This window comes from Homo sapiens, chromosome 2, assembly GCF_000001405.40.
Source record: "Homo sapiens chromosome 2, GRCh38.p14 Primary Assembly".
NCBI classification, from domain to species: Eukaryota; Metazoa; Chordata; class Mammalia; order Primates; family Hominidae; genus Homo; species Homo sapiens.
In genome coordinates, this window is record NC_000002.12 from 164,849,397 (window position 1) to 164,861,271 (window position 11,875).

Here is an 11,875-nt window from a genome sequence, read left to right on the forward strand (position 1 = left end):
TATAAGGTATGATTTTTTAATGTTTTAAACATTCATTATTGGCTACTTTAACTATTTTTCCTTGGTAACTGCAGCAGAAATTGAAAAATGATAGAAAAGCAGAAAAGAATGGCATAACTTATCAGATATATGTAAGTGTGTAAACTTTGGGTTTTATTGTTTAGCTCATCTAGTAACTTGGGAAAATAATAGCTATTCCATAAGATTGTTGAGAAAATTAAATGAGAGAACACAGTTAACAGACTTAGCTGAATGTGTAGCATATAGAGGGCACTCAGGCATCCCTGGCATACAGGTATGAGTCTGCAATTAACAAGGTAATGGAAAGAGTGTTGCAGATCTCTGACCGAAGTATTTTCTCCTGGGCTTACAGTATTTATCAGCTATCATAATACAAGTAAGTGGCAAGATAAGCTTACTTAAATAAGGTGATTTTCTTGTTTGATGTATTTTTATGTGATTGCATATTTACAAGGGCTACAGTGTATATTTCAGGGATAGTGATACATATTTTCTAGATCTTTACAATTTTCTGTTGTAATAAATAAGAGTGCATAATTTTGATCAACAAAGAACAAACATTTTCATTCAGAGGACTAGGAATGTACTAAGTAAATAAATAGTTGTTTTTGGAATGAAAAACAAAAATGGGATTAAGATTTTGTTTTCTGACCGTGTTAAAGGAAACCATGCCATTTTTTCTTTTTACTTTTTTTTTTAAATACCCAGACTTCAAAACTACCATATCAGTTTTAACTTCTGAATCTCCTTCTACATGGGGACTATTTGTGATAATCAGTGACCTTTTACATAGAATGCTATTAAAATATAGTTTTATGTCTGGCAAATATAAGACTCCTTTCTTCCCTACATATTTTGATTTAAATGAAGTATTGTCTCATTTCTCCAGGTGTGATTCTTATGTATGTTATAAATTTTGCGATCTGTCAATACCACAGAACAAGCTGAGCTGTGGTTAACACTATTTCAACATCGAAGAACTTTCTTCCAGTTCTTTCTGAAATATGCCAGTCAAAGAAAAAAAGTTTGAGGAAGTTGAAGAATGTAAGAAATTGGTGGAGCATGCTAGTGGTGGTTTTAGAATACAGTCTTTTTGTTCGTGAGTTCTGTGCTTCAGTCGAAATCAGTCATAGCAGTCTAGCAAAACCAATGAATTACCTAAGTTATTTCAGAATTAATATGTATTTTAAATATCAAAATCAAGTCAATTCACTGAAGCTAGGCATTCTGCAATTATCATAGTTTCATTAGTGGAAATTCAAAATCCCATATCTGAAAAATATTTTTAAAAATAATTTTGTAATTTTTAGTTTCTTTATCAATAAAATGGTGATACAACAGTATCATCATCTGTGTTGCAGGGTATGAATTATGAATAAGTATGGCAAATGACTGTGCTCTATTAAAAATATCTGATTGTAACAGAAATCATACAACATTAAACCTGAAAAAGACTTTAGATAACATGTTCTCAAACTATTCTTTACATATATTAGAAAACTGAAGTTTATAAATAAGATAACCAGCTTTAGTAAATAAAAATACAGGATAACCAGTTAAATTTGAATTTCAGATAAACAGTGAATAAGTTTTTGGCATAAGTATGTCACCTGCAATATTTGCCTGTTATAAATAGTTATTTGTTACCTATCTTAAATTCAAATTTAACTGAATATCTTGCATTTTACCTGGCGACCCTCCCTGTAGAGGTATCATAATTCCTTTTGTTCGCTTCTTTGACCATATTTTGTACATTAAATCTCTAGACTTATTCATCCTATATGACTGTAACTTTGGAGCCTTTCACCCATTTTCCACCCCCAACCCCAATCCCACATCCCCCAACTCTAGTAACTATCGTCCTACTCTCTGTTTCTATGTATTCAATTTTTTAAAAAAGATCGCACATATAAGAGAGCATACAGCAATTCTCTTTGTGTGTCTTGCTTCTTTCACTTAGCATAATGTGCTCTCGGTCTACCCATGGTGTTGCAAATGGCAGGATCTTTTTTTTTTTTTTTTTTGAGACAGAGTCTCACTCTGTTGCCCAGGCTGGAGTGCAATGGCGAGATCCCTGCTCACTGCAGCCTCCTCCTAGCAGGTTCAAGCGATTCTCCTGCCTCAGCCTCCTGAGTAGCTGGGACTACAGGCATGCGCCACCACACCTGACTAATTTTTGTATTTTTATTAGAGATAGTGTTTCATCATGTTGGCCAGGCTGGCCTCAAACCCCTGACCTCAAGTAGGATCTTCTTTTTGGAGGCTGAATAATCCATTTACACACACACACACACACACACACACACACACGCACAGTGTTTCCTTTATCCATTTATCCATCAATGGACACTTTGGTTATTTCCACATCTTGGCTACTGTGATTAATGCTGCAATAAACATAGGTGTGCAGATAGCTTTATAAGGTGGTGATTTCATTTCCTTTGGGTATAAACCCAGAATAGGGATTACTGGATCATATGGTTGTTCTATTTTTGATTTGTTTAGGAACCACCATACTGTTTTCCACAGTGGCTACACCCATCTACATTCCCAACAGAGTGTACAAGGGTTCCCTTTCTCCTCACCCTGACCAATGTTTTTTATTTCTTATTTTTCCTTTTTTTTTTTTTTTTTGAGACAGGGTCTCTCACTCTGTTGCCTAGGCTGGAGTACAGTGGCACAATCATGGCTCACTGCAGCCTTGAACTTCTGGGCTCAAGCAATCCTCCCACTTCAGCCTCCCAAGAAGCTGGGACCACAGGCACATACCACCACATCCGGCTAATTTTTGTAATTTTTGTACCAACAGGGTTTTACCATGTTGGCCAAGCTGGTCTCACACTTCTAAGCTTAAGTCATCCTTTTGCCTCAGCCTTCCAAACTGCCAGAATTACAGGCATGAATCACTGTGCCCTGATAATTTTTGTTTGTTGTTACTGTTATTGTTGTTGTTGCTTTTGGTAAAGATGGTGTTTCACCATATTACCCAGGCTGGGATTACAGACGTGAGCCACCACACGTGGCCGCTTGTTATTCTTGATAATAATTTCTTGATAACCTAACAGGTGTGAAATGATATTTTACTATAGTTTTGATTTGCATTTCCCTGATGATTAATGATATTGAACACCTTTTTACATACTTGTTGGCAATTTCTTATTTCTTCTTTGGAGAAATGTCTATTCAGGGCCTTTTCTCATTTTTCAATCAGGTTATTCATCTTTTTTGCTATTGAGCTGTGTGAAGTACTCGTATATTTTGAATATTAACCCCTTATCAGATCTATGGTTTGCAGCTACTTTCTCTCAATTGTAGGCTGCCTTCTCATTTTGTTGATTGTTTCATTTGCTATGCAGAAGCTTATTAGTTTTATGTAGCCACACTTGTTTATTTTTGCTTTTGTTGCCTGTGCTTATGGCATGCGAATCAAAAAATCATTGCCAAGACGAATGTCAAGGAGACTTTCTTCTGTTTTCCTCTAGGAGTTTTACAGTTTCACATCTCATGGGATATGATCATTGTTTTCAAAGGGCATATACCTAATTATATGCCAGTGCAGGAATAAAAACTGAACAATTACAGAGTTTACCGATCACTCCTACAGTTGATAAAGTTATATAGTAACATGTTTTAGTAAAAGAAAATAACCATATTTTATAACCATAGTTTCACAAGAAACTGAAAAACATCTAATAATTTAAGATGAAAACTTTTGAAGCTTTTTTGTAGCTCCTCAATTGGTAACCATTGTTAACCAGAGCTGAATAGCAGTTTTTCCTTAAGGCATGTTTTCTGAATACGAGCATACCTTGGAAATATTGCAGGTTCCATTCCAGACCACTGTAATGGAGCGAATATTGAAATAAAATGAGTCACATAATTTTTTTGGTTTCCCAGTGCATATAAAAGTTATGTTTACATTATATTGTAGTTTAAGTGTGCAATAGTATTATGTCTTAAAACAATGTACATATCTTAATTTAAAAGTATTTTATTGCTAAGAAATAAGAAATACTAATTATCATCTGAGTCTTCAGTGAGTTGTAATCTTTTTGCTGGTGGAGTGTCTTACCTTGATGTTGATAGTTGCTGACTGACGAGGGTGATGGTTGCTAAAGTTTGGGTGGTTGCGGTAATTTCTTAAAATAAGACAACAATGAAGTTTGCTTATCAATTGACTTTTGCTTTCATGAAAGATTTCTCTGTGGTATGTGATCCTGTTTGGCAACATTTTACCCACAGTAGAATTTCTTTCAAAATTGGAGTCAATCCTCTCAAACCCTACTGCTACTTAATCAACCAAGTTTTTATAACATTCTAAATCATGGCAGGGCACAGGGGCTCACGCCTGTAACCCCAGCACTTTGGGAGGCCGAGGCAGGCAGAACACCTGAGGTCAGGAGTTCAAGACCATCCTGACCAACATGGAGAAACCCCATTTCTACTAAAAGTACAAAAATAGCAGGGCATGGTGGCGCATGCCTGTAATCCCAGCTACTCGGGATGCTAAGGCAGGAGAATCACTTGAACCCAGAAGCGGAGGTTGCAGTGAGCCAAGATCGTGCCATTGCACTCCAGCCTGGGCAACAAGAGTGAAACTGCATCTCAAAAAAATATATATATATATTATATATGTATATACACACATATATATGTGTATATATACATGTATATATAAACATATATGTATATATACATGTATATATAAACATATATGTATATATGTGTGTATATACATATATGTGTGTATATGTATATTCTAAATTATATATATATTCTAAATCATTTGATGTCATTTCAAAAATGTTCATGGCAACTTTACCAGGAGAGATCCCATCTTAAGAAACCACTTCCTTTAATAATCCATAAGAAGTAACTTCTTATTGGTTCAAGTTTGATTATGAAATTGCAACAATTTAGTCATATCATCAAGCTTCACTTCTATCTCTCTGTCTCTGGTTATTTTTACCACATCTGTCATTATTTTATCTATTGAATATTATCTACTGTAGTTATTTTATCTACTGAATGCCTCAGAGTCATCCACAAGAATGGTAATCAACTTTTCCCAAATTCCTGTTAATGTTAATATTTCGACCTCCTTGTATGAATCACAAATGTTCTTAATGGCCTCTAGAATGGTGAATTTTTCCAGAAGGCATTAAATTTACTTTGCGCAGAGCCATCAGAGGAATCACTATATATGTCAGGAATAGCCTTATGAAATCTATTTCTTAAATAAGACTTGAAAGTCAAAAGTACTCCCTGATTCATGGACTGTAAAATGGATCTGTTAATAGGCATGAAAACAACATTAATTTTTCTGTACATCTCCACCAGTGCTCTTGAGTGATGTGGTGCACTGTCAATGAACAGTAGTATTTTGAAAGGAATCTTTTTCGTGAGTAGTAACTCTCAACAGTAGACTTATAATATTCAGTATACCATACTGTAAACAGATATGCTATCATCCAGGCTTTGTTGTTCCATTCATAAATCATAGACAGAGTAGATTTAGCATAATTCTTAAGGGCCCTAGGATTTTTGGAATGGTGAGTGATTGTTGGCTTCAACTTAAAGTCACCAGCTGCATTAGCCCCTAGCAAGAGAGTCAGCCTGTCCTTTGAAGTTTTGAGGCCATGCATATACTTCTCTCTGGCTATGAAAGTCCTAGATGGCATCTTCTTCCAATATAAAGCTATTTCATCTACATTGAATATTTATTGCCTAGTGCAGCCACCTTCATCAATGATTTCAGCTAGATTTGGATAACTTGCCACAGCTTCTGCATCAGCACTTGCTGCTTTACCTTGCAGTTTTATGTTAGAGAGTTGGTTTCTTTCCTCCGAACTCTGTTAGCTTTCAAATTTCTTCTGCAGCTTGCTCACTTCTCTCAGCCTTCATATAAGAGAGTTAGGACCTTGCTTCGGCTTAGGCTTTGTCTTACAGGAATGTTGTGGCTGGTTTGATCTTCTATCCAGACCACTAAAACTTTCTATCGGCATTATGATCGTTTTGAATTTTTAAAAATCATTTGTATATTCACTACAGTAGCACTTTTAACTTCCTTTAAGATCTTTCCTTTGCATTCACAACTTCGCTAACTGGTGCAAGTAGCCTAACTTTTAGCCTTTTTCATCTTTTGACATACCTTCCTTACTAAGCTTAATCATTTCTAGCTTTTGATTTAAAGTGAGCATCGTGTGACTCTTCCTTTTACTGGAAAACTTAGAGGCCATTGTAGGGTTATTAATTTGGCCTAATTTCAATACTGTTGTGTCTCAAAAACTAGGGAGGCTCAAAGGGAGGGAGAGAGATGTGGCAAACTTAATCAATAAGATGGCGAACTTGATCAATCAGTGACCAGGAATGGTTGGTCATTGGAGCAGTTAGAACACACTCAGCATTGATTGATTAAGCTTCCCACCTTATATAAGTGCAATTTGTGGTGCCCCCAAACAATTTTAGTAGTAATTAATATCAATGATTACTGATCATAGATCACCATAATAAATATAATAATAATGAAAAAGTTTGAAATATTGGGAGAATTACGAAAATGTGACATAGACACATAAAATGAGTACATTGTTGGAAAAATGGTGCCAATAGACTTGCCTGATTAGGGTTGCCAGAAACCCTCAATTTGTAAAAAATGCAACATTTGCGAAGCATGATAAAGGGAAACACAATAAATGAGGTATGGGCCAGGCGTCATGGCTCACGCCTGTAATCCCAGAACTTTGGGAGGCTGAGGTGGGCAGATCACCTGAGGTCAAGAGTTCAAGACCAGCCTGGCCAACATAGCAAAACCCCGTCTCTACTAAAAATACAAAAATTAGCCAGGTGTGGTGGTGTGCGCCTGTAATCCCAGCTACTCGGGAGGCTGACGCAGCAGAATCACTTGAACCCAGGAAGCAGAGGTTGCAGTGAACCAAGATTGCGCCACTGCATTCCAGGCTGAATGACAAAGCAAGACTCCATCTAAAAAAAAAGAAAAAAGTATACCTATGCTCCTAGTAAATAATTAAAGTCATTTGAAGAGTAGAAAAATCTTAGCTGAGAAAAAAGTATACATTAGAATCATGTAGAAGAATCTTATATCCTTTATTCTGATCTAAAGTTGAAGTTTTAAATTAATTAGTTGAAGTTTTAAACATCCTCTGTTTTAGCCTAAAAAAGCTGTAATTATGTTGCATTTTTTTTATTCCAAATCCATTTTATTTCTATCTTCTTTTTTAAATTCTTAATAGTCTCACCAGAGGTATGACAATTTTATAAGACCTTTTTCATAACCAACTTTTGGCTTTTCATGTCCACTGCATGTTTATTTTTAATTTTAAAAATGCAATGCTTTGCTCTTCCAGTAGTCCCCAGGGAAAAATCAAGTAGGATTTAGAAGATAATTTATCAGGCTGGTTATAGAGATGAGGCCTGCCATGAGTAGGAAGTTGGAACAATAGATACCTCTTAAGTTTAAAAGTCTGTTTTTGAAAGTTGTGTTATTTAGCAAAAGCAGTAGTTGTAGCTAATTTCAAATTATAATTTTTTCATATGAAAATACTCCTAAAAATATGAAATAAAAGTCTTAAAATTCTATAAAAGAAGTTTTATTAAGAATGCAAACTACAATACATAGTGCCTTCCAGCAAGCCATAAAGAGAAAAATCTCTTACCAATGTTATAGTAATAATATGTTTGGTATTTATTATATTTACTTATAAGGTACTAAGGAGTGCTATATATTTTAAGGATGCAGTTAATTCTTGCTACATGTTACAAGACAACAAGAAAGCATAATTATTTTTATTTTATTTATTTATTTTTTGAGACAGGGTCTCACTCTGTTGCCCATGCTGGAGTGCAGTGGTACAATCACAGCTCACTGCAGCCTCAACCTCCTTGGGCTCAGGTGATTCTCCCTCCTCAGCCTCCCAAGTAGCTGGGACTACAGGCGTGAACAACTTCAACTGGCTAATTTTTGTATTTTATTGTAGAGAGGGGGTCTCACTATATTGCCCAGGCTGGTTTCCAAATGTTGGGCTCAAGCGATCTTCCCATGTTAGCCTCCTAAACTGCTGGGATTACAGATGTAAGCCAGTGTACTTGACCTTTATTTTTATTTTAAAGATGAGTAAAATGCAGCTCAAATTTATGACAAAATAGGAAATTCAGAGGGGCAACACCTTTCTCTTTTAACAAGGAAGCTATTCCAGAGCAGAAATTGTCATTACCTCGTTGGTTTTTCAAAAGAAATCAATGATTTGTTGGACTGTTACAGCAATAACTCAAAGAAAAAGAAAATGGAGTGTAGCTAAACATTTAATTGTTTTTTCTCTCTTAAAATTTTTTGTGGGAGTAGCAGAAACAGGTGGAATCAGGGAGGCTGGACTGGGAAAGGGGTTGGTTGGTATGCAAACCCAACAACTTCTTTGTGGTTGAGAGAGGTTTGAGGAAAATATGAAACATTTAGAATCTTCCACACTAATGTTTGAATGAATTCAACAGCTCTGAAAATGTCATTTATGGATAAGGAGTGTTGAGTGTAAAATTATGAAGATGTAATTCATTTGTAACAGATATTTGTATGCATATGTTGTATATGTGTATGTGTGTTAGGGGTTTAATTGGTGGTCAGAGGAAATGATAATAATAAGATAACTGTAAAACCACTGTATTAGTCTGTTTTCACACCGATATAAAGAACTACCCGAGACTGGGTAATTTATAAAGAAAAGAGGTTTAATTGACTCATAGTTCTGCATTGCTTGGGGATACCTCAGGAAACTTACAATCATGGCAGAAGCTGAATGGGAAGCAAAGCACGTCTTACATGGCAGCAGGAGAGAGAGGAAGCTAGTGGGGACGTGCCACACTTTTAAACCATCAGATCTCATGATAACTCACTCCCTGTCATGAGAAGAGCATGGGGAAAATCCACCCCCATGATCCAATCACCTCCCATCTGGTCCCTCCCCTGATACATGGGGATTACAATTCTAGACTAGGTTTGTGTCTAGGGCCATACCACACTGAAAGCGGCTGATCTCGTCTGATCTCAGAACCTAAGCAGGGTCAGGCCTGGTTATACTTGGATGAGAGATTTGGATGGGGACACAGAGCCAAACCACATCAACCTCATAACCCAGAGCACAGAGAATATTGTGGTGAGGTGGTAAGGACGGACGGTTACGAGAGGATCCTCATCCTTCATGGCAGGCCCAGTGCCTGAAAACAATCATCTCCCAGAAATTACTTTCCAAATTAAGAACATGAAACATTTGAACAATCCTCTGAATTGGAGCATCTTCACAGAATGCTTTCACCCCATTTTGAGGAATGTCCCTTCCATCCACTCACCTAATTATGAACCCAGGAGAAAAAAAACAAAAAACAGTAATAACACTCTAACCTGTTTTATCCTGGGCAACTCCAAATATTATTTTTGGGTTCCTATTCCCTTTTATTAAATGTTCTGAACAAAGGGTAGGAACAGGAGATGTAATTAAATGCCCTCTATAAGCTACTATTGTTTATTTGTTAAAAAATTTAAAAAATACTCTCCAAAAACAAAACACAAAAATCCATCAATGTGCTAATAGGTCTTCATAGGTCATAAATTAAAAGAAAAAGCTTATATTTCTAAATGCACACTAGTGTAAGTTTGCTTTTTATTCTAAAATATCAGAAATCATTCAACCGATTTTTTTCTGTCAATAGTTGTCTCTTTCACTAGACTCTCTACCTTTGGGTACCAACAGTCATGTAGTGTTGAAAATCCACATTTTGCGGACTCATGTCCTTCTTTGCTAATGCAGTGGCTGTAGCCCCTCAAATGTTGCTCATATTTTTCCTGGAGATCCTGGGATTAAAGGTAAAATTGCTTAATTTGAGCTCATGGATAGTATTCTTATGTTACTCAGTTCTATTCTCTCTCAGTTACTTGAGGGCAAGAGCTCTCCACTACTATTGCTGCAGGGCTGCACCATAAGCACACATCTCTCTGGGTTACAGAAGCTTATCACTGGTGTTCTCCCAGCTGTAAGTCCTCAAGATGCCAGGGAGCTGCCCATTCCTGGAGTCTTCAATATCCTGAGGTCAGGCTGTGTACTACACCAACGGGCTTTTAATCCTTGTATTTCTCAAATTCCTTCAGCTTCTGTTCAAAATTCCTTCTGCTCTAGAACTCAGGAGTCAACTCCTGTGGCCTACCTAACTAGTTCTTCAGACATGTCTGGGCATTCCTGAGTTCCCTTTAGACTCAAATTATGCCCTACATTAACCTTTGAAAAAAAAATGTCTTATAGTATTGATTTTTAGAATGCTGTCTGCCCCCTGAAGCCCAATACTACTCATATCAATTTGATCCCTCTCTAACCTTATGATCAAATTTATCCTCGACCTCCAGGATTTTAAGGAATTTCATGTTGGTGTCATCTGACAACAACTGAAGTTTAGCTTAAATATGAACTTTTGAAAAATAATATGAATTTTGTCACAAATAAACATCTAATTAAGTTTTATTATTTGGATTAGTGAAGACATAGGAACTCTCATGTTTATCAAGAATCCCAACTTATAGCTAAACATTCTTATGAAAAATTACACATTGGAAGTGAAGCAAAAAGGATCATGTGTCCTTTCAGTATCATACTGGAGCTTTGTCTAACAGGTCCACTTAAAGGTAGTTTAACTCTGTAGGAGAATGCCCCTTTGTTTGATATACTATTTACTATTGATTAGAACCTAGGCTGTGAAGTTACATGTTAACTTGTGGGTTTTCATTGGGTAGAGATGCAAAGCATTTGTCTAGTAGAAAAGATACCTCTAAGAATATTATTTGATTTCCCTATAGGGCATGAATCAGTTTTCTATCTAACCTAGCAATCTTATTCCAACATTCTTCTTTTCTTTTTTGTTTTTTATTTATTTTATTTTATTTATGTATTTATTTATGATGAGTTTCACTCTTGTTGCCCAGGCTGGAGTGCAATGGTGCAATCTTAGCTCACTGCAATCTCTGCCTCCCGGGTTCAAGTGATTCTCCTGCCTCAGCCTCCCTAGTAGCTGGGATTACAAGTGCCTGCCACCACACCCAGCTAATTTTTGTATTTTTAGTAGAGACGAGGTTTCACCATATTGGCCAGGCTGGTCTCGAACTCCTGACTTCAGGTGATCCACCCACCTTGGCCTCCCAAAGTGCTGGGATTACAGGCAGGAGCCACTGCGCCCAGCTCTTTTTCTCTTTTTCAAGACAGGGTTTGGCCTTGTTGCCCAGGCTGGAGTGCAGTGGTATGATCATAGCTCACTGCAGCCTCAACCTCCTGGGCTCAAGTGATACTCCTCCTCAGCCTCTCAAGTAGCTAGGACTACAGGCATGTACCACTGTGTCTGGCTAACTTTTGTTTGTTTTCTGTAAAGACAAGGTCTCACTATGTTGCCCAGGCTGGACTCAAACTCCTGAGCTCAAGGGATCCTCCCACCTTGACCCCCCAAAGTGCTAGGTTTACCAGTGTGAACCACTGTGCCTGGCCCTTCTTTTCTTTAGTACCTCCTCATGTGTGCTTGCTCTTGAAATAATGTTTATTATATTGCTAGTTTCCTCATTAACAAGTTAAATAAATTTTTGGTACATGTTTTATATTTGTATGCAGGCTTCCCATGTGTCTGTAATAGTGAAAAGATTGCCCCTCATTGACTGAGTGTAGAATATTTTCATATCTCTGAAAGGCATTAAATATTTGTTACAATGTCTTTTAAAATAACAGAGCTCTATTTTTATTTATTAAGGATAAGCACTTACATAAATCTCAATTTTCCAGAATTCCTGGAAAATAAAGAAACTAAAGTTCTG

At 36.6% G+C, this 11,875-nt stretch overlaps 1 pseudogene; it reads left to right on the forward strand.

The window, feature by feature from the left end:
- RNA5SP110 (RNA, 5S ribosomal pseudogene 110) lies at positions 9,036 to 9,150 on the forward strand (annotated as a pseudogene).